The following is a 25,381-nucleotide window of genomic DNA, read 5'->3' as shown; positions in this document are numbered from 1 at the left end:
TGTATCAAAACATCCCATGTACCCAATAAATATATACACTTATTATGTACCCATAACAATTTAAAAATTTTTAAAAATGAATACTGGTTTTCATATGAAAAAGTAAAAATTAAATTTATTTTTGATGTTTAAAATATTTTTCTCAAAAATATTTAAACATTTTTATTAAATGTAACTGACAATATGAGACCATAATGGAGGTAAATACAAACTACTTATATGACGTTAAAATCATTTTTTGGATTTAGTTAAATATAATTAAATATTTTGGAAAAAATTGAATATCTGTGATTTTAACATTTATTGCATCTTTAGTTGCCAATATATGATCCGTGACATGCTTCATGTACATTCAAGGCTTGCCAAACTATTTCTGTAAAGCATCAGAATTAAAATATTTTAGGGTTATGAGCCATACACTGTTGCAACTACTCAACTCATCATTGTTGCACAGAAGCAGCTATACACAATATGTAAATGAATGAGTGTTGCTGTGTCACCAAAAGCCACTTTAGTTCCAGAAACAGGCAGCAGGCCAGATTTTGCTTGTGAACCATAATTTGCTGACCTATGTGATGCAGAATACGTTCTTTGGAATCATAAGGCCCTAACAGCAACTTAACATTGCTCGTTCTGATTAAATGTACATAAACAACTTGCATTTGATCTAAAAAATAAGAAGAATTCAATACCTATTTGTTGAAACAGATATCTCCACTCTCCAATTCTGGTCCACTCTCCAATTCATCCTTTAAAAAGCTAATAGATTAGCCTTTTCCAAACGTCATGCTTTTGGATTAGCAGGGGGGAAGAAAATAAATGTGAGACCATAATAGAAATTCATACTTTTCCAATTGAAATGTGATCAAACTTACCTGACCTAAAAAGGAGTTATACAATTTAGTCGTGCGGCATTTTATAAACACTTCTCATGCTCTCTACATTTACTGATGCCTGGATTCAAATTGCATTCCAAAAAGATCTTGGATAGCTGCTATGGATAAAAAGCCACAGTAATAAACACTCTAGGATAAGACAGCACATATGGAAAGAATGACACAGCAACTGAAGTTTCTATTAAATATCAAAATATATGTAAAATCATTTAAAATTATTCATGAGACAAAACCAAGTTTAAGTAACAGATCTTCAAAGATGATGGATATTCAGATTAAGATTACCTTTAAAAGAGGAAGATCTCACTGATGACCATGGTGGCTACCAGTTCCAGCAGACACCTCTGTCTTGATGTTTAGGGTATATCACCACATGCCAAATACCCAACTAGTTGTCATCTATTGCTAATAGCTATCCAGGAATATCAAATTAGAACAATATTTAGGTAAAGAAAAAGAAACCCATCCAGGCTTGTTCAACTCAAAGCCCATACTTCAAAATTTAGTGCTATGAAACAATCAGTGAAGTGAGTCCATGAGATTGGGTGGTAATTGTAATCTTGGGCTACCACCAAGGGTAGAGCCAACTTATGTCTTACTGTGAATTGGTCAGAGACGTTTCCCAGTGTTCCCCCACCTTCCATCTCTTACTGCTCTGTCCCCATCCCTGTGACTCTGTGGCCCCATCTCTCCTAGTTAACACTTGTTCCATTTAAATAAATCCAGATTCTCAGTTGGCTTTCCAGGTATAAAAGAATGTTCCACTAAACAACTAATGGCTTACCATGCTGTTCCTTCCTGACATAAGCTATTATTTTTTTTTTCTAAGATGAGTTTTACAAAGATCTTCAAAATACATTTTGAAAAAAAAAATTCTTTGAGATACAAAGAAGCATATTACTAATAGTACAATCAATGGAATAGTGACATAATATGGGGGTGAGATTTGTAAAAAGTTCAGTTACCTGTTATACCTATATTTGTAATATGCACTGCACGTACTTGTTAGAAGGAACCAAAATTAACCCTGTAGGTTAAAATCCTAGCAGGTGTTTTGAGTAGAGGGAAAAGTTAACATTCTGGATATCTTTAGAAGCTTAGCATTTTTTAGCACTGTGCATTGCATATACTCCCACTTTAAGATGTCTGTTTATCATTATTTATGACCCTTCCCATTGGAAATTATGTAACTCTCTCAACATTGAGGTTACTCAAATTAAATAAATGTGGAAATTATTACAGTTATTGCAAGCAAAGTGAGCTGTAAATACTATACCTACAGTTTAAGAAGTCAAGTACTAGCCATAAATAATTTTGCCCTTTTATTTCCCATATTAAGAAATAAAACTATCTTATCCATTGTTAGGTTTTAGATTTAATATCTACAAATTCCAAAAAACACTGTTGCCAAAACTGTTGATCAGATGGATATTTTATGAACTTCTCTCAATTGTGTCTTTCAGTTTGAGAAAGTATGGCCTCATGAGTGTCATTATAAAGGGCACCTTTAATTTCATTTCCCGTATCTTCTTAGTATTTACCTTAGTAACATTGCACCATTATTGTATTTTATAAAGCCTAAGACTCATTTAAATGCTAGAAAACTATGCCAAAGGGATTTCATTTACCTCTGGCTGTGCAGGGGATAGAGTTATACAACCCCTATTAATACTAATGGGATTTTATGAATAAATCCTCAGGAATACAGACAAAAATGTATCCCAAGAAGGACATGAAATGAAGACAATAGGCTCACTAGAGCCAAATTAAATGGCAGTTTGATTTTCTGAGCTAATATCTCATAAAAATAGAAGTCACTTACACTTAAAATCACTTAAGAACAGGGATTTCTTTAGTAAAAATTCACACATCTCTTAGGCAACCTAACCTAGTAACTTGTAATTGTCATTGAATGAATATTCCAATGATAAAATACATTTTTAGAAATAAATCACCATGAAATTATATATAGTCTTAATACTACATATTTAATTGTAATGTTTATGTAAACTTCCATAGACAGTAGGAGTATGGACAACAAACCATAGACAAGTATGGACAACAAAAAATATAGAATATTTTTATATGATTTATTGGCAAATGGTGTAATTACTTTTTAAATATGGTAGCAATATTTTAAAACTAAATATTAATTATGTAGGTCTTGCTTATCAGGTTCTGAAAATGGTAATGTTGTAAATAGTTAAGATTTAAACTTTTTATTTTAGATGATTTTATTTATGCTTTTCTCAATGTAGAACTAAATTATTTTCATGGAACAATTGAGATATGTTCCATAACTGATTTCAGTATTTAATTATTTTAAAAGAGTAATCTTCATATATACTAAAAATCTAAATATAAATGAATTTAATCTCAAATGTATGCATACTAGTATAATCATATTTTGTTGAAACGGTTTTATATAAATTTACATAACTTTTTTGTAAACTATATTTTCAAAATATGTCAATTAAAATGACATTTGAATATAGAAGACATTTTACTGAAAAAAAATTTAACTCAGTTTCTTGTCAAATAATAGATAATTTAATATTTCAATTTATAGGAATATGTGTAGATGTTTTTCCTATACAATTTGCCTTTATGTGATAGGGTTCACTGCATACAACATCTCCATTTTTAATGTTATATTCATGATAGATTAATAAACAATTTGTAGTATTGGTCAAGTGCAGAAAAACTTTATTAAAATATATCTGTAAAGATGAAGTTTTAAAATCCCTTAAATACAACAATAACAACAATCATAATTCAAAATATTTCAATTGCAAGAACATAATACATATATACCATATTTTAGGCTTGTTTCTTTTGATATTATTTGAATTTTTGAAGCATAAATGGAACTTAACACTAACGTATAGATTGAGTTTACTAAGATTCATGATAATACCCATTGATTTGCTTTTTGATATGAGGAAGCCAGTATGAGGAGGACTAGGATGTCAGATGTCATCTGGAGCCACCATTCATAGAATGCTTTCATTTAAAGCTCAAAATTGGATGAGTCCAAGTCATTTCAAAGCCTAACTTTCCATGGGCCGAATAGGTTCATGGTACTATAAATTCAAGGGGAACAAAAAAGCTTAATATACAAAAGATCATTGTTAAAACACATATTACTTGATATGTCCAGTAGTGTAGTGAGAGGAGAATTGGTTTTAGAGTCAGACAACTTAGATTTGAATCTTAGATTTGGCACTTAGTTCTGTGTCACCTTAAGTACATTACTTACACTTGCTGAACTTCAGTTTCCTCATCTTGTATATTGGATGAATAGTATCTACCTTATAAAGTGATTATATAGAGAGCTTATTTGTTAAAATGCTTTTGCTTAATAGGTGAGTCATACATAACAATTATTATTCAAGCATGTGCTCATTGCACATAGTAGTTGTTAGCTGCTGGATATCTCAACTTCCCTTATGAGATCAAAACATAGCAAATTAAAACCAGCCCGATATAAATCTGCCAAGTCTAATATCTTTTACCTTTATTTGCTACCTCTAAACTATCTCTGATTTATTTAAAAGATCAATACCTGATTCACCATCATCATACAAGGCAACCAATGCCTTTCTCTTCACTGTTGTCCAAACCTGATTTCCCGCCCTGGTTTAGAATGGCACCTCAGATAGCAAAAGGAATAGCCATTTATCCTAAAACTCCCTGGGGACTACACGTGGTGTGACTGAATTAAGTACTCATTACACCCAAGCTCTGGAAACAAATGCCTATCAAGAGTATAATAGAAAAAAAGAAAAACAAAATGGTGAGGTCAATTCTCTACTGCTTCAATACTTCTTACCCCACCTCCCCCAAGAAAAAAGTATCTCATTCTTGAACCCAAGACACCTTATCCTTTCACAGTCCAAGTGTGCTTGCTTGAAGTAAGTGAGGGTAGATAGTTATTCCCCTTGACCCTTGGCTTACCCACCGTTCAGTTACTTTAGTACCTCTTTCGATGAGAGAAACCAGTACATTGGGTGTGCACTTAATATCACTTAGATCAACAGATTGCACACAGCAGTGGTCTCAGCCTGTTCCCAAGGCTGGCTGCATACAAGTACGACCTCACTTAAGGTCATTGCCAGTAATGGCACTTGATGAACATAAGAACTTCTCCCTACATTTCTTGTATCAGCATTTCTAATCGGCTTTATAATTTCTAAGGCCATTTCATTATATGCAGGGAGGCTTTTTGTTGTCGCTGTCGGTTCAACTGTTTTGTGAAGCCTTGTGTGGAATTCTGAAATAACAGAAGGAAATAAATCATGATATGTATAAAACTTTATCTGCTTTTTCCCTCTGAAGAGAGTGCTTTACAAACCAAATTCTCCAGCTTTCTCATGGGCTTTATTTTCCTTCTTTCCCAAGGACAGATAATCATAACAATATTCTTTAAGAACTCCCCACCATACTCTCTTTGATGTAGAAAGCAGTCCAGCTGTAATTTATTCCCACTTCCTTTTATCTCCAGGGAAAAGAAAAAGCTGGCTAGTTTAGCCTAGTCCTAGCTTTTATCACAGAGGAGAAAAAAGTGCCCTAAAGAATGGATAAGGATGCTGCATATGCTGAATGCTGATGCAAGATTCTGTCTGGGCCTTCTAAGTATTATACCCAATATATTTATTTTACAGAAATCTGTAATAACCCAAAACTGGTTCTTAGATTCGCCAGAATAAGCGTGTCTTCTTTACTGTGAAAGTTGTAATATAAAGAAGAATATAATGAGATCTGTCATCCTGTTTGCTTCACAGAGATCATTATTGCTTATAAAGGTATAGTGACTGGTAGCCTGGACCAGAGTCATACAAGAAAAGCTGTGAAAGGGGTAAAACAGTTGCTTTATACATTAGCGGAGCGAGGGATGATGACACTTGGTGGGAATATACAAGTCTTAGGCCAGTAGCGTAGGTAGTAATAAGTGTAAGCAGCAATACAAATATAATAATGTGCTAGGTCATCATCTTTTCAATTTAGTAATCATTCTCGATGATGCATCAGGGATATAACTATTTTTCCATTTTCATTTGTTTTATCTGTAGTACAAGAGTAATGCATGTGCTTCATAATAAATCCAATCAATATTGAAGGATATAACATGAAAATGAAAGCCTACTTCCCTTCTACTCAGACACACTTTTTAAAAGTCTCCTTTTCGGTTTTCAGATAATTATCTAAATAACTGCAAATATTATATGTATATATCTATTTATAAATTTTTGAGTACTAAACATAATCTACCCCTGCCAGAAAAGTTGTTACTTTATTACACTGCCATTCTTTCCTTGTACTCTTCCAAGTCCTTGCTAACAATATATATACATTTTCATTTTTATTCTATTTATAACTTACATACGTACACAGAACACTGAAACTTCTATTTCTTTACTCAAATGTTAAGAGCATGTTGACTTTTGAAAGAAAGGAGGGAGAAGGAAGAAGCATTTTGAATTGATCTATTTCACCTACACTTTGTTAATACACTTGCTTCCTTATTTCCTTGTGTGCTCTTTAAACAGCCACTTCACTTTATGCCCAATGTCCTCTTCCCTACTTAATCATATAGAGCACATTTTAAAGACTGTTTTTAGAAGTGCAAATGATTTCTATTTTAATTTGCACCCATTGCTTTTTAGGCCAGCTTCACAATTACCATTTAGAATTGTCATTCTTTTACTTCTCTAGGTTAGGCCCTCTTGGATGCCTCGAACCCCTTAAAACAGCTACAGTACCTTTTAAGTAAATATGACAGAGAATGTCTGAGAATGAAACAACGTCTAAGTCTTGCCTGTCCAAATTAGGTTTGTTTTACTGTCATACCTGATCAGTGATTTGTCTGATATTCTTATTGTTCTATGTTTAGTTTGTTCATTTGTTCATCTTGACCCTGTTTTTGCGCTGTTTTTCATGATTTTGGTTGTCAATTAATGTTTATCAATGAAGGATTGTGATATTTAATATTTATTGATAAGGTGGGTATTCTTTCTAGGAATGCATTTTATAATTATTAAGATTTCATATTTTCATATCCTGCACTTAGAAACTCAGTGGCTTTTAAATCCTTTTATATATCAATATACGTGATTCATGACATGCTCTTTGTCACTGTAAGATATTGTAGAAACATCATATTGTTTCAGAAAGGTTTGGACTATACCTTTCTTTCCATTTCTACTAGGCCTACACCCTGTTATCAATGTCCATCACTTTCTGCAGTGATTTCATAGTAGCCCCTTCAATGGTTTCTTTGCCACCAGCCAGCATCAATTTGTTTAAAATTAGAAAATAGCCATTTTAGAAAATAATGCATTGAACCTGCCATGTCCATTTCTATAGTGAAATAAAGAGAGCAGATCAGAAATGCCCTCTACTTTTCACATGTTAACTTAAGTATCTCTGGACTCTCTTGCACTACATTCGTAAAAACATCACCAAGGGTTATTGATCTGAGAAGAACATATCATTATTTAGGCAATTTTCTACCAACATGGTTTACAATGAGGAAGTCTGATTTTAAAAATGAAAACCTGCTTATTGGGAAAGGTATTGCATAGCTGCCTAGTAGTCAACTGTTCTCCACTAAAAAGAAGTGGAAAAAAACTAGATACTTAAGTAACTTCGTAAATGGATTTGGTTCCTAGTAGCCTCAGGAGGTGTTATAATTACCCTGTTTGGGGGTGCTCCATTAGAGGACTATAGAATTTTATTCAGACCTATTTTCAAAGTAGTTTTTGGAGTTTGGAAGTAGAATAACTCAACAAGTATTGTTCTCACTGGGAATCATTCCAGTTCCACCTAAGCTTTCATGTAAGGACAGGATTTGGGAAAGAATGAACAAGAAAATCTTTTAAAATCTTCCTCTTGATTAGAAGTAGTTCAATGTATTCCAGAGGAGTATTATTGTGAAAGAAATTTTAAATAAACTTCCTTATTGTGCCTAGTTTCTGGGATTTCTAAAAATATCTTAGAATATCACATTTTGATATCTATTAGAAAAATATATGTTGCATTAATCAATCCAACATCTTTTACATGCTCCTTCTTCCTGCAATGACACCTCATTTTGATGAGGGAACTCCTCTTCCCCACACCAGCAATGTGCAGGGCTCCAATCTTGCAGTCTCTTGACCCCAGGTTGAGGTTACATAAGTTGTTGAGACCATTCTTTTACTCTGCAGCAGCATTCATCATGTGATCAGAATCTTTCCCTGGAGTTTTCCTAAATCTCTCTAGTTATGGATTCATATGTCTATGAGTACAAAGCATGTCAGTTTGAGAGACTGAAGATGGCACTCAGAAAGAGGAAACATGAGGTTAAAAGCGAATGTGCTGGCAGAAAGCTGTCTCTAGGCATCTCCAGTTCTCCAGTTCTTGAAGTGTCTATACTTCCTGGTTCACTCCTGAGCTTCTCTTGCATGAATTATCCCGTATACCACCCATAAATCTTAAATTTTCTAAAACTTGTATGATTTTCAAATGTAGACTCTTCTGATATGGGAATCATACTGCTAAGGCTTTTCATGTGGAAAGATGCAGCTTGATTAGAGAAGAAAGTGCATGGTTTTAGGATGCAGATGTATACCGACTAGAATGCAGACAGCAGTCAATGTATATTGACTAGAATAGACTTGTCTATTAAAAATCTGCTAATATTTATTTTAAAGAAAAATATATCTCAAAATACTTACAACTGGAGGCTCCCAGAAACATCATCAACTATGTATGTTGTGAGCACTGTGAAAGCAAATAACAAAAGCACTGTTGTGACTATTAAGATGATTATATTTAGGAGTCAAAGAAGTCAACAATTTTGATATAACCAGAGTGCTGTGGAAAAGTAATTGAGGCACCTGACTTAAACCTGAGGCCATGGAAATTAGAATTTTAATTCCATAGGATAAAGAATGACCAGATAATCAATAGTATTATAGGTGCATACTGACATGAAGAACATGAGAATAGATACACACACACACACACACACACACACACATACACACAGACACACACATGAAGGAAGACTAAATACCATGGAAAAATAGGGGAAAATGTACCAGTCATTAGCATTGAGGTATCCTTGAGATATCATATTATTTATTACATATTACTTTTGGAAAAAAAATTTAGCCTTCACTAGGGTATGTGAAACTGAGTCCACAAGCCAAGTTGTGCCCAAAACAGAAACAAAGACACTGCACTCTTAAGTTCATTTTGTCTCAGCATTCTTATTTTATTTGGCAGATAGAAAATTATGTGTAATTTCCTAATTCCCAATCCTTGCTCAGTCTCTTGCCTTTTCTTCAACCTTGAGTATACTTTGGTATCTCCCAGTCTACAGGGTTCCTTCAGGCCCACCTGTGTCTGCATCTCTTGCATTGCATCTTCTGCAGCATACGTGAGACTGTGAATCTGCGGGAAGCCATTGTCCTGAGGTTCTACCATTTCCTCATGGCAATGTCAGTAAGATCTCTTGTTATGGAACCCCAGACTCACCACCCTACACACACTCTGGGAATCTCTCTTTTATATATCCAAGAAAAGCCTCTTATTTATTTTAAGCATGAAATCAGTCTTATACTAAAACTCACATTTATAAAAAGTAATTTATTTTAAGAGAATAGACTCTCTGTGTACTAGGTTCCATAATTCTTAGATGATCTGTGAAAAAGTAACTATCATAATACATTCCTAGCATTTAAAATTTGTTTTAACAAATATTTATTGAGTGCGTACTGTTAAATTAAAATTATGAGAGGCCATGATTTTGGACTGAGCTCCTACACTAAACCCAACAGACGAGGCCAAACCAGAATCAAGTCACCTATACTAAGTGCCAAGTAATCAAAGTGAACTTTAAAATGGGCTAGACAAAACAAAACAAAACAAAACAAAAACAGGAGATTCACAACAATCAATAGAAAGAGACTTATTAATTTGAGCCAGCCTTATAAGTTAGCCCCCTCTGTTTTAACTCTGTAAGGAAAAGGTTCATCCACTTTTTATCTCGTTTCTGTTTCTTTAGCTCTTCTCTGCCTCTGAAGTCCACCTCCTCTGCTCTGCTCACTAAAGGGTCTTTTCTAAATCTTCTAATGAGATACTGACCATTTAATTAATTAGTAATGAAATGCAATTATATCTTTAAATTAAATTTGTTGAAATTTTGTCTCTTAACACTACTATTTTAACAGTAGAGACAGACAATAAAGGAAATTATGGGTAAATAAATGATACAGTGTGTTAAAATGCAGTAGGTGCTATGACAGGAAATAGACCATGTAAAGGGAAATGGATAGGTGAATTTCACCTTTAATAGAGTGGACATCATGGGCACAAATGACCAAAAACTTGAAAAAGGAAAGCCATGAGTTTATCTGAGGAAAGTAATTGCCATGTGAGGAATCTACCAAGAAAGGGTCTAGGGCAGGAACATTTTTGGTGTGTTTGAGGAGCAGCAAGAAACAGTGGCTGAAGCCGAATAAACTAAAGGAAGAAGAAGAAGCAGGTGAGATAAGAGAGGTGTTGAGGGCCAGATCATGAATTGCCTTGAAGGCCATTGTTGTAAGGATTTGGCATTTACTCTGAGTGAAATGGGAGCCATTGGAAAACGTGGATTCTTTCTTAAACCCTTTAAAATACATAGCTAAAATAATGCCCCCTCCGGCAACTTATCGGTACAACAGTTGCCCATTTCAGAAGGAAATTAAAGAGGAAAACAAGAAAGTATTTTAAAAGTTAACAAAAATTCAAAGAAACCCTAAAAGGATTACATAGTGCCAAGTCCCTTTTTTTCTAAACATAGAAGGTAATGGAATACTACAGCACTTCTGAGAAACTCAAAGAAAGGAAGCTATATGTTGTCCCTAGATGGGATTTTCAAAGGTCTCCAGTGCAGGCTGAGCCCCTCTGCCAAACAACACAGTCACTGGGTTTCAGTGGAGATGACCTTTAGCATCAGAATCAGCTGGCGAATGCAGATGAGACTAGCTGTATATAGTACACTTAGGAGTGCTCTGTGCAATATCATCAAAATCATGGAGTAAGATGTTAGCTGCAAAGGGTCCAGAGTATTTGGAATATTTATAAATACATGAATAAAGTAACAATCTGGAAATTATGTTCAGCATATATATTTTATTTCCAGGTCTGGTAAATGAGAAATAGCTGTTTTAGAAGAAGAAGAATCATAATCAGTGATTCATAGTCATTGCTTTGTGCTGTATCTGTATTTGTGTGAAATACATAATTTTGAGCTAACTGTAAAATAGTTGTATGTAACTTATATTTCTGCACTTACTAAAGAAACTGAACTACTATTTATTATTGCTGCTATTTCATCCCTAAAATTTAAAAAATTGAGAAAGAACAAACATTCATGCCATTTTGTCTAGCACTTCTCTTAGCAGTTTTTCTAATATTGTATTTTAACAGTATTTAAGTCATCTTATCTCCAGCTAAATTGTAATGGCCTCAAAATAAGTTGTTTTAATAATGGTTTATGCCTAGACAATAAGAAAGTCTGGAACATAGATGTTTGGTAAATGTTTAAGTGTAATTTTAGTACTACAGTTATGCTTTGGAGAGGTGTGAAGCATTAACTGCTTTTTCCTAGTATACTACCATTTCCTAAGGATAGTATAAATCTGAGAAATCCTATATATATATATTGTCCTCTTCCACAGTAAATCTTTCACGCCAAACAAGGGAGTAGACTAATCTTATAGAGGGTAAAATTTCAAAAGGAAAATAAGAAATGTCAGTAAGAACTAAAAAGATCTGTGATTAAAAAAACAAGAGCAAAATGGTTTAGAAAAGTATAGAAGATGTCTTCCAGATAAAAAAAGCTAAAAGGAAGTCAAATAACAGACCCAAGTACAAAAATAAAGAAAAGAGTGCAAGTCAAAGCCATTTTGTTGATAAATTACAGAAATTATTGATGGTCATCTTTTCATCGCAAAATAAGCTTGAGTGGTTTCTGAAAAAACAAAACAAAACAAAAAAACAATGTTTTAAAGCAATCCAGGAAGGTAAAAATAAGTTCTATCTTGAATTTAAAAGCAACGTTTCTCTCATCTACTGAAATATGTTTTGTGAAGATTTCCAACCTCAGGTTGACAAACATAACAATTCTCCTAAACACGTTGGTGAGTGACATCTAACCGAACTCTGTGCTTTTCTATACATTTTCCTTTTCATTTTATTTTCTTTATTTCCATAGAAAGTTATGAAGGTCATGATGGCAGCAACCACAATGGATAAAACTTGCAAAGAACCATGGTGGTCCAGGTCACATAGGAAAAGTGAGACGGAATGATCTGATAAACTAGGTAAGTTACAGTTTAGAATGAAGGAAGGAACCAGGTGAGATCAAGTTGTTTCAGCTCATAGCTAAATCTTCCCAGAACGGGTAACAGACATTATGTGAGTAAGCCTTCAGATAATTTCAGCCCTAGCATTTTAGCCATCCCAGTACACACCGAGTGGAGCATAGAGGAGCTAATCCTTGCCAAGCCCTGCAGAGTGTATATTCATGAGAAGAATAGATGCTGTTGGTGTTAGACCACTAAGTTTTGGGGAGGTTTTATGCAACATTAGGTAATTAGAACACAGAGAAACAGTGATTTGAATGACTGTGGACTGCGGACTTGGCTTCAGATATAATGAAGGCCTATTAGGTACTATGCTCACTACCTAGGTGATGGGATCATTCATAGCCCAAAGCTAGAGGCATCACACAATATACCCATGTAACTAATCTGTACATGTATGCTCTGAATGTAAAATAAAATTTTAATTAAAAAAATTATGACAAAATAAAGCATATTTAGATAAAAGAAAACCAATACAGTGTGCTTCCAGCAGAAATTCACTATTATAAATAGTAAATGTAGTACTTCAGACTGCAATAGGAATTCATATCTTTAGGAACTAATAAAAATCATTAAAAATTGGACAGGTGCAGTGGCTTACACCTGTAATCCCAGCACTTTGGGAGGCCAAGGTGGGCGGATCACGAGGTCAAGAGTTTGAGACTAGCCTAGCTAATATGGTGAAACCCTGTCTCTACTAAAAATACAAAAATTAGCTTGGCATAGTGGCATGCACCTGTAGTCCCAGCTATCGGGAGGCTGATGCAGAAGAATCACTTGAACCCGGCGGTGGAGGCTGCAGTGAGCCAAGGTCATGCCACTGCACTCCAGCAGCCTGGGCAACAGAGGGAGACTCCGTTGAAAAAAAAAATCATTAAAAATTTAAACAACTTTGACTATAAATTTGAAATTATAATAATTTTTCATGGAATATATATGTTTCATGAATAGTTCATTCTTTATGGTAAAGTTATCAAAGGCATCATAATATATATCATATGATGCCTTTGATATATACACACACACAGATATATATGGATACAAACACACATATGGATATATATATATATATACCTATATAAAATGCCTTTGATAACTATACTCTAAAAAATGATGGGAGTAAAAACACTACAAATTGGAATATTTTCTATGTTTTACATGAAGCATTGCAATATTAGGTATAAATAGACTGTGGAAATTAAAGGATTTATAATGGAATCCTTTAACTGAAGCAAACAATAAAAGTCATGGGTAGCTAAAAATCTAATTGGTAAATTAAGACAGACTTCTACAAAATTAAATAATTCAAACAAAGTGAGAAAAGAGAGCAAAGTGATCACTGACTCAACAAACAGAATAAAACCAATAATGACATTTTATACTTCAGTTCAGACATATAAGTAATTACATCAACTGTGAATAAATTATTACTCTAGTTAAATGCAGAGATGGCCAGAATGGATAAATAAGCAAGCCCAATTCTGTGTTGTTGACATTAACTTTAAATACAAAATCCCAGGTAAACCAAAAGTACATGATACACATAAGTGAAAAAAGTATATACAATCAATACTCATCATTTGTAGATTCTGTTTTTGTAAATTCTAAATCAATACTTGTAATTACCAAATCAATACTTACAATGCTTTCATGATCATTAGCAGACATGTGCAAAGCAGCAAAAAATTGAGTTGCCTGATGCACATCTTCCCCGCTGAGGTCAAAACAAAGTGGCTCTCTGACTTCTTGTTTCAGCTTTCATAGTATAAGCAAGTGTTCTTTCGCGTTTTATTTAGTGCCACATTTTTTTTTATTTCTGTGCTTTTATTGGTGATTTTTCTGTTTAAAATTGCCCCTAAATGTAGTGCTGAAGTGCTGTCTAGTGTTTTTAAGTGCAAGAAGGCTGTGATGCCCCTTAAAGGAAATATACGTGTGTTAGAAAATCATTCAGGCATAAGTTGTAGTGCTGTGGACTATGAGTTCAATGTTCAGGGAAGAATGATATATGTTAAATATTATTAGTTAAGCAAAATTAGTTAAATAAATATATTAGAGGTGTCTCTAACAGAAACACGCATTAGACAAGGTTATTATTGATAGGTGAATGAAAATTTTGCAACCGCAGAAGCCTGACCCTGTCTTTTCCCTAGAAGCAATAGTACAATGTTCCTTAATTTAGTTTACATGACAGCTTTACAAAACGTACTTGTGAAAGTTAGAATCAACTGTACCTTGAAAAGAATAACTTAAGAATAATTTATTGAGTATAATAACAAGCAAAGTTAACTTTAAGACAAGACTATTACCAGAGATAAAGGGGGATGCTTTATAATGAAAATGTTAACTCATTAGACTTAGAAAGCATAAATGTTATGTGCCTAATAACAAGGCTTTCAAATATATGAAGCTAAAATTAAGTTCATCAATTAAAGGGCAAAATTTAAAAATCTCTATATTATTGTAGGAAATTTCACCAGCCCTTTCTAAGCAATTGATAGAACATTAACCAAAATATTACAAAAGACATGGATAATCCTAACAATGATATAAACCACTTTGACCAAATTGAGTTTTATGGATCACCCAATAACAGGAGGAGACATATTATTTCTAAATGAATGTACTTCAACCATATAGTCTATATGCCTAGCCACAAACAAATTTCCATGGGTTTAAAAATACTGCTATGACATAGAGCTTACTATCGGAACAAAATGGAATTAAAAATCAGCAAGAAGATGTCAAGGAGTTACTAAATAATTAGAAAATGAACATCTAAATTATTCATAGTTCAAAAAAGAAATCACAAGAGATTTTAGAAGTATTTCAGACCAAATGATAATAAAAATACAGAATAGCTAAAACAGTATTTTAGAGAAAATTTTTGACTGAAAATGCTTATTTTATAATGAAGGAAAGTTCTAAAAGAAGAAAGGTCTAATATATTCCTTTAAGCTGCTTGACAGTAAAAGTAGAGTAAACCTAAATAAGTAAAAAAAATAAGATATAGCAAAGATTTCAGTAGAAAGTAATAAAAGATAAAATAGATATATTAATAAAGCTAAAGTATGATTGCTGAGAAAATCAATACAATTAATATACCTTGGCTTAAATTGATCAAGAAGAAGCGCAGTGGCTCACGCCTGTAATCCCAGCACTTTGGGAGGCCGAGGCGGGCGGATCACGAGGTCAGAAGATGGAGATCATGCTGGCTAACACAGTGAAACCCCGTCTCTACTAAAAAAAAATACAAAAAAATTAGCCGGGCATGGCAGCGTGCGCCTGTCGTTCTAGCTGCTGGGGAGGCTGAGGCAGGAGAATGGAGTGAACCCGGGAGGCGGAGCTTGCAGTGAGCCGAGATGGCGCCACTGCACTCCAGCCTTGGTGACAGAGCAAGACTCCATCTCAAAAAAACAAAACAGAAGAGAGAGAACATACATTTCCTATATCAAGAAATAGGGGTTATCACTACAGATCCCTCACACATTAAGTGAATAACAAGACTATCATGAACAACTTTAAACCAAAACATTTTGGTATCTTAGATAAAATGGACAAATTCCTTGGGAAGTACAACTTTCCAAAATTGACACAAATTAATCTATAGATTCAAACAATCTAAATAAAAATTTTCATAGATTTTTGTAGAAATCACAAACTAATTTTAACGGTTTATAGAAATGCAAGAAATCTAGAAAATTCAAAGCAGTTTTATAAAGGAAAATATAGAGAACTTACACCACCTGTCCTCTAGACTCACACTTGGTTACAGTAATCAAGGGATTGTGGTATTGGTGGGAAAAATATATATATATATATACACATATATATGTGTGTGTGTGTGATATACATGTATATATACACAAACACACACATTAATATATACACATACACACAGATACACATTAGATAGATGGATAGATAGATAAATGAAATAAAATAGAGTCCAGAAATAAAAACCATACACTAGAGGCCAGTAATGGCAAAAAGGTAATTCAATGGAAGAATGTCCTTTCAATAAATGTTACTGAAAAAACTGCATATCCAAATAGGAAAAAAAACAGGAAGAAATTTTTGCCACCTTGTAACAGGTATGGAATTTTTATATAGGACACAAAAAGATAAACCAGAAAATAAAAATTGATGTTAAAATTAATCATAATTTAAGACTTTGCCTTGAAAGAGATGATATTATGAAAATTAAGAGGTAGTACACTGATCAGAATAAAATATTTGTAATGCACATACCAGAAAAAAAGACTTGGTTCCTGAAGATATTAAAAGTCTAATACATTAATAACAACAATCAATTCATAAATAAACAAAATATAAGAATATGCGTGTCACAAAAGATGATAGTTAATAAGTAAATGAAAGAGTTCTCAACATTACTCAAACACGTTAAAACCACTGTATACTCAAAAACATGGTTAACATTTTAAAAACTGACAATACCTAATGTTGACAAAGATATGGAAGGTTACATTGCCGGTGGTAAGGTAAAATGGTACAACTGCTTTGGAAAATGGTGGCTATTGCTTTATGAAATGATCCAGCACCTACACTCCTCTATAATTATCAATGAGATATTAAAAAGTGTTGACAAATATTTATAAAAGCTTTATTCTTTTTTCTTTTTTAATCATTTATTATTATTTTTATGTAATTTTTATTTTAAGTTCAATGGTAAATATGCAGTTTTGTTATATAGGAAAATTCATTTCATGGAGGTTTGATGTACAGATTATTTTATCACCCAAGTATTAAGCCTACTATTAATTAGTTATTTTTCTTGATCCTGTCCCTCCTCCCACCCTCCACCCTCCAGTAGGCCCCAGTGTATGTTGTTCCCCTCTATGTGTCCATGTGTTCTCATCATTTATCTCCCACTTATAAGTGAGAAGATGTGGTATTTGGTTTCATATTCCTACATTATTTTGCCAAGGATAAGAGCCTCCAGCTCTATTCATGTTCCTGCAAAGGCATGATCTTGTTCTTTTTTATGGCTGCATAGTATTCCATGATGTATATGTACCACATTTTCTTTATCCAGTCTATCTTTGATGGACATTTAGGTTGATTCCATATCTTTGCCCTTGTGAATACGGCTGCAATGAACATATTATTAAAATGGCCATACTAATCAAGGCAATGTATAGATTCAGTGCTATTCCTATTAAACAACCATTGACATTCTTCACAAAACTAAAATAAACTATTTTAAAACTCATATAGAAAGAAGAAAGAGCCCAAATAGCCAAGGCAATTCTAACCAAAAAGAACAAAGCTGCTACACAGCTTCAAACTATACTATAGGGCTACAGTAACCAAAAGAGCATGGTACTGGTATAAAAACAGACTGTAAACAATAAAAATAAAGTTGATTTAAAATGTATGTACAGTATAAACACAATGGAATACTACTCAGCTTAAAAAGAAATAAAACTCTGACACATGCTACAACTTGGTTGAAACTTGAGGACATAATGCTAAGTGAAATAAGCCACAAAAACACAAATATTGCATGATTTCATTTAAAAATACTTAGAATAGTTGAAATCATGAAGACAGAAAGTAGAGAGATGGTTGTCAGGAACTGGGGGACATGGGGTAATGGACCATTATTCTTTAAAGCATATAGAGTTTCAGTTTTGTAAGATTTTAAAAAGTTCTAAAAATAGTGGTGATAGTGCACATTATGAATGTCATATCACTGACACTTAAAAATAGTTAAGATGGTAAAGTTTATAGTATGTATATTATCACAATGAAAAAACAGTTGAAAGGGATTATGTACAGTGATATACACAGGGACAAAATTATTACAATTGAATATTCATAGTGTCCATTGCTGTATTTTGGAGCATATTTCTGATTGGAGAAGAATTCCATTCTGTGCATCAAGGAGAAGTAAATCCTCTGCTTATTGTTTTATGCATCTGCTTATTAATTATAATTTATGATTCCATGCATCCCAAGTTTTGTTTCTTATCAGCTACCTATATACTTCCATTGCCAGGCAACGTGGAACACATTTTGATCCTGTACCTTTTCATCTATGACATCTATTTTGTCGTAATATCACATGAGTGGTGGTAAGTGGAAATAGTATTTCTGGAAGTCATGCCTACATGTGATGGCTTTTAATTACTCGACTATTAAGAGAGTAATTAAAAAAGTGCCTGTGAACCTCATAAGTATATCCCACCAAACTCAAATCAAATTATCCTCAACTTACTTTCCCTTTTATTAGGGTTGACACCACCAGACAGGAGGGGTGGTGAAACGGAGGGGACACCATAGTGGGGAACAAAATCAATCTTAGCCAATTATTGTTAAATATCTTAATTTACAATATTTATTTTTAAAAACTGAATATATTAACATTCTTCTAGTGCCCATCAAAATTTTTTGAAAGGGGCCTTTTCATGTAAGCATTCTTAAAGCTTAAGCTTCACTAATTATACCCCCTCACCCCAAATCCTCTTCTGACCTTGCAAAACTAGAGAAGTATTCGCATGTACTATAAGATCATGAAAGCAATGCCCTGGAATTCAAGAGGGGCTGCATGGATGCAGACAACAGAAATATCAGCAGCACCTATGATGGACTAGAAAGCAGAAGCCCTTCCCTAAATTTGTAAGCACCACATGGACACTCAGATTCTTGTGTTTCTCCGTCTCGTGGAAAGGAAGTCTCAATAATTATAAAGTTTGACTTGTGCACTAACCTGGAAAGTTGTAAGTTAGATTTAAGCTGAATTAAAATATTTTCATCTCACACCCAGATTTGTAGCTGAACATTGATATCAAAAAAATAAGAAATGAAATGAACATAGGCCCTGTCTTTGTGTTAATCAATACTGAGAAAAGACATTCTCTCCCCCTCCTTTGGTAAATACACAAAATAAGTGAAAATAGTCTGTTTGCTCTAAGAAAGACCTTCTCCTGGATGATAAGATTGTGAACCAACTTAACAGCTTACTAATCAAAACTTACTCATTAAGAATCTTATTAACACACTTTCCTTACTATGCTCATGAACCCAAAACTAGTATATCACAATGCAAACCCATTTCTCACCTTGCAAGACCTGCCTAAAAACCACCCAGTCCAGAATTTGAAGCTCTGTAATATTCTCCCTTGATTTCCCCTTTTGAGACATGGCCAAAAATTCTATCAAGGTGGTGTTCTCCCTTGCCAAAATTAAACTAGTAAGTTTGGTTGTGCTTGACCAGTAGGGTTTTCTGGTGGACTTTTGGGGAGTTCACAGTTGACAAAGGGAAAAACAATAGACAAATAACTGGGAGGTAGAAGGCACACGCAAAAAGTCCTCAAGTTTTAAACAAGTAGCTGTCTCTCTCATTGTTACTTTTAAAAATATACTCTGTTATGAAATAAGCTGAAAGAAAAGGCTTGGCTTACTTGGAACCCACATATGTAGAAGATAGTTCTGCTTGTTTGAAGTTGGGACATGGATAACAAATAAGGGAAAGTATGAACTTTGCAATTTTGTCCTATCCAGAGTCGCAGCTGGCACTCTTAGGAATGTAGCAAATGTTTCCTGTGGTACTTCTTATTGAAAAAAGGTAAGCAAAATAAAGGACATATTAACTTTTCCTTTCATTTTCCATTGTTGCCTAACTGGGAAGATTATTTTAACTCTCTGTGGTATAGTTTCCTCATCAGTATAATTACAATACTCTCTACATTCTAATTATGCAGAAAAGACAGTACGCCTTAGTCCATTTTGTGTTACTATAGAGGAATAACTGAGGCTGAGTAATTTATAAACAAAAAAAGTTTACTTGGTTCACAATTCAGCAGACAGTATTAGAAGCATGATGCCAGCATCTGCATCTAGTTAGGGCCTGAGGCTGCTTCTACTCTCGGAGGAAGGTGACGGGGAGACAGGGTGTGTAGAGATCACACAGCAAGAGAGAAAGCAAGAGAGAGCAAAAGGAGAGGTACCAGACTCTTTTCAACAGCCAGCCCTCCTGGGAATTAACAAAGCCAGAATTCACTACTCTTACCCCCAGATAGGGCCTTAATCTATGCATGAGGCATTTGCCCTCATAACCCAAACACCTCTCAATAGGCCCCATCTCCACTACAGGGATGAAATTTGAACATGAGATTTGGAGGAGACAAACATACAAACCATGGCATAGTATGACACATAATTACAGTTTTAAAATCCTATTCAAATCTTTAAGAATCATTCAAAAGGGATCTATATTAAAATTGAATTATTACCAAAAATAATGTTCTTACTCCCAAAATAATGAATGAAGTCACTTAATGCTATGATGAAATGTAGCTTCAATAAATATGAAAAAAACATAATGTGGAGTTATTTTAAAACGGCTAAAGCTATTTTAATTAAACATTAATTTTTTAGAGTTGGAAGCAATCAGTTTTGGTAGGTCATTTGTACACCAAAAAATAGAATTCACAAACTGAATTTATATAAAGGTCAAGCACAACACGCATCAGTTCAAAAATACTAATTAGTGTTTTACCAGTGATTGCATGAGAATATTTATGGATGCAGAATTGAATAGTAGAGATCAAAAATAAGAAGTGTGGGTAGATTTAATGATTTATTGCTCCCACGCTAATCAGGATTTCTGACTCTTTCATCTCTGAGTCACAATTAAACAGTCTTTCTTTTCTCCCTATTCTTCTTTACTTCTTTCCCCAGTGAATTTGACTATTGACATAACTTATAATGAATTTATGTTAATAATTAAGAGGGAAATTATAATTGAAAAGGGAAATAATATTCAAGTTAAATTAAAATGACTTTCATGTGTTTATACACCACACATTATTATTTTTGGTCAATGAAGTACTTCGTTTCAGAAAACAATAGGTTCTCCAAATACAGTTATCTGATTAGATTCATTATTTCACCAGGTCTTTCTTTGAGCATGACAATTGCTTTTGTACTTAAGGTCATTTGCATATATAATTTTTAAAATTGAGATAATTGCAGTAGCATCAAGAAGATTATCTTAAGATAATAAAATCCTTTAGGAAATATTTCATTTGTGTAGCCCAATATGCTGACATCAGTCTCATGATGTACAAATACAGTAGGTACAAACAGAAGCATAATATTCAGATACTTCTTTCTTCAAAGGATCATAGAAATTGAAATCTCAGGGAGACTCTATCTATTTATAAAGGGTAAAGATGCTTTGGGGGAAAAGAAAGTAAGGCCAAAGGAGATTTTCTGATGTTTTTCTCCTAGGGTCACATGATGTAGAAGAAGAAAAACTGTAACCAAATGTTCTCAGCTCTAATTCTCTCCTTTAAGAATAGTTTTAAATGTACAAAAAAAAAAGTGAGTAGACTTTACAGAAGGGTCTCATGTACCTCACTGCCCCCCACACACAAAGTTTCCTTATTATTAACATCTAACATAAATATTGCACATTTTTGCAATTAATGAACCAAAATTAATATATTACTATTCAGTAAAGCCCATAATTGACAATAACTATGAAGTTTAGATAATAAAAATATATTAATTCTGTGTTACACAATTCTGAGCTTGACAAATACATAGTATCATTTATTTACTGTTATAGTATTATACAGAATAGTTTCATTGTTCTAACAATCCCCTGTTTCACCAATTCACCAGCTACCTCTCTATGTAATTTACCATTTTCATACAGTTAGAATCACACGGCATACATCCTTTTCAGACTGGCTTTTTTACCCATATGATTTTAAGGTTCCTTTGGTTTTTTTGGGGGGGGGCTCTGTAGTTTATTTATTTTTATTGCCAAATTATATCCCATTCTATAGTGGTATCACAGTACTTATTCATTCGCCCATTGAGGAACATCATCTTAGTTGCTTCCAGTTTTAGAAATTATGAATAAAACTGCTATAAAAATTTGTGTGCAGGTTTTTGGAGGGTCAGTTTTCAACTCAATCAAGTAGGTGGTAAGGAAATAAAGTAACAGGGATACATTCTGAGAAATGTGTCTGATATGGTTTTTCTGTGTCCCCATTCAAATCTTAACTTGAATTGTATCTCCCAGAATTCCCACATGTTGTGGGAGGGACCCATGGGGAGGTAACAGAATCATGGGGGCTGGTCTTTCCCGTGCTATTTTCATCATAGTGAATAAGTCTCACCAGATCTGATGGGTTTATCAGGGGTTTCCGCTTTTGCTTCCCTCTCATTTTCTCTTGCTGCTGCCGTGTAACAAGTGCCTTTTGCCTCCCGCCATGATTCTGAGGCGTCCCCAGTCACGTGGAGCTGTAAGTCCAATCAAACCTCTTTTTCTTCCCAGCCTCGCTTATGTCTTTGTCAGCAGCGTGAAAGTGGACTAATACAGTGTCATTACACAATTTTGTCATGCCAGCAATATAGAGCGTAGTTACACAAATCTAGATGGTATAGTCTGGTACACACCTAGCCTATATGCTATAGTCCTTTGCTATTGAGCTAAAAACCTGCCCAGCATGTTTCTGTACTGAATACTGTATGCAATTGTAATACAATGGTAAGTACTTGTGTCTCTAAACATACCTGAACAAAAAAAATAGGTATTATACTTGGTATTATACTTCGGTATTATATTTTTATCAAACCAACATCATACATGCTGTTTTTGACCAAAGTATTGTGTGGCTCATGACTGCACTTCCAATAATGATTTAATTTTCTCTTATGTCTAACATTAATCCATACTGTGGGTAAAAATGCTACCCAATTAATAAGTAACTTACATTAAATACTAAACCATATTTGAATATTTTCAAATTCTAACAACCATATAATCTTCTATAGATTAAATTACTATAATTCTTTTTGATTTTTACTTAAATAATATTTTACAAAAAAAGTAAGTTGGTTAATTTTCTCACAATGTTAATTACCTCTAAAAGCTTTACAGCCAAATTTAAATTAACTGTTATAATATGAACTTAGCAATACACCATTTCAGTTTATGATTTTTTAAAAGCAGAAAAATCTTACCACTTATATACAATTTAGGATATGCAATTTCATAACATATAAAAAATTATAAATATAGAACCCAAATATTTCAAATTTATAGTAACAAAGTACCTATATTTTTAAAAAAATATTTAGCAATTAGAAAAAAATTATGTTTGTAATACTGGGAGAAATATTGGTGACAACATTCACAGTGAAAATTGTGTCTTAATTATAGAGTTCATCTAAAAACAATTAAGTGAATTTGACAACAAGCTTGATCTTACTAGTGAATTAGATGGAAAATAACCTGCATTTCTATATATCAATAATGAATAATCTGAAAAAATATGAAATCAATCCCATTTATGATAGCTCAAAAATACCTAGGAAAAATTTATCCAGAGAAGTAAAATGTCTCTACAGTGAGAACTATAAAACACTGATGAAAGAAATTGAAGAGGAGACACAAAATAATGCAAAGATATTCCGTGTTAATTGGAAGAATCAATTTTCTTAAAATCATCATACTACCAAAAGTGATCTGTAGATTCAATGCAATCCCTACCAAAATACCAATAACATTTTCCACAGAAATAGAAAAAAAAAATCACACAGAACCACAAAAGACCCTGAATACACAAAGCAATTCTGAGCAAAGGGAATAAAGCCATGTGCATCACATTGCCTGACTTCAAATTATACCACAAAGCTATTGTTACCAAAATACCATGTTACTGGCATAAAACAGACATATAAACCAATAGTACAGACTAGAGAACCCATACTTAAATAGACACATTTACAGTCAGTTCATTTTCAACAAAGATGCCAGGCACATACATCGGGGAAAGAACACTATCTTCAATAAATGGTGCCAGGAAAACTGAATATCCATATGCAGAATAATAAAACTAGAGCTCTATCTCTCACCTATAAAAAAATTGAAATAGATTAAAGACATAAACATAAGACTTGTAACTATGAAACGACTAGAAGAAAACATTGAGGAAATGCTTCAGGACATAGTTTTGGGTAAAGATTTTTTTGAGTAACACATCAAAAGCAAAAAGCATCCAAAGCAAAAATGGACACATGGGATTACATCAAGTTAAAAAGCTTTTTCACAGCAAAGGAAATAATCAAGTGAAGAGACAACCAGCAGAATGAAATAAAATATTTGCCAACTATCCTTCTGGCAAAGGATTTATCTAGAATATTTAAGGAACTCAACTCAATTGCAATAAAATCCCACAAATAATTTAATTAAAAAGGAGCAAAAAGTCTGAATAGACATTCCTCAAACAAAGAACTACCAATGACCAGCAAGTATATAAAAAAATTCTCTACATCACTAATCATCAGAGAAATGCAATTAAAAAACCACAGTGGGTTATCATCTTACCCCAGTTAAAATAGCTTTCATCAAAATGAGTTAAAAATGAATGCTGATGAGAATGTGGGAAAAGAGGAATGCTTGTACACTGTAGGGAGAAATGCAAATTAGTACAACCACTATGGAAAATACAATGGAGATTTCTCATAAAACTAAAAATAAAACTACCATATAATCCAGAAATCTGACTGCTCTGTATATATCCAAAAGAAAGGAAATCAGTATATTAAAGAGATATCTGCACTCCCATATATATTGCAGCAGTTTTCACAGTACCCACGATATGGAATCAACATAATCTGTATCCATCAACACATGAATTGGAAAAGAAAATGTGTTACATACACACAATGGAATATTATTCCATCATAAAAAGCATGAAATTCTGTCAGTTGCAACAACATGCATTAGGAGAAATCCTGGCATTATGCTAACTGAAATAACTCACGCATAGCAAGACAAATATTAAGTGTTCTCTCCTATGTAGTAACTAGAAGAACAGATCTCATGGAAGTAGAGAATGGAATGATGGTTACGAGAGACTGGGAAGGATAGTAGGTGTGGAGGGATAAATAGGGGTTGGTTAATGATTACAAAAATACAGTTAGATAAAAGAAATGAGATCCAGTGCTCAGTAGCACAACAGGGTGACTATAGTTAGCCATAATATATTGTATATTTTGAAACAACTAGAAGAGTGATTTGGAAAATTCCCGACACACACACATACA

At 33.5% G+C, this 25,381-nt stretch overlaps 1 long non-coding RNA gene across 1 annotated transcript; it reads right to left on the bottom strand.

Moving 5' to 3' along the window:
- Nucleotides 1-3,585: 3,585 nt before the first annotated feature.
- On the bottom strand, nucleotides 3,586-15,529 carry LOC105374141 (uncharacterized). Its single transcript, XR_924559.4, has 3 exons — nucleotides 15,395-15,529; nucleotides 8,615-8,660; nucleotides 3,586-5,169 (listed from the first exon to the last, which is right to left on the bottom strand). It is a non-coding gene; the product is annotated as an uncharacterized LOC105374141 (long non-coding RNA).
- Nucleotides 15,530-25,381: the final 9,852 nt, after the last annotated feature.

This window comes from Homo sapiens, chromosome 3 (genome assembly GCF_000001405.40).
Source record: "Homo sapiens chromosome 3, GRCh38.p14 Primary Assembly".
In the NCBI taxonomy this organism is placed as follows: domain Eukaryota; kingdom Metazoa; phylum Chordata; class Mammalia; order Primates; family Hominidae; genus Homo; species Homo sapiens.
The sequence above is the reverse complement of the archived record's forward strand: the minus strand, read 5'-3'. Positions and strand labels throughout refer to the sequence as shown.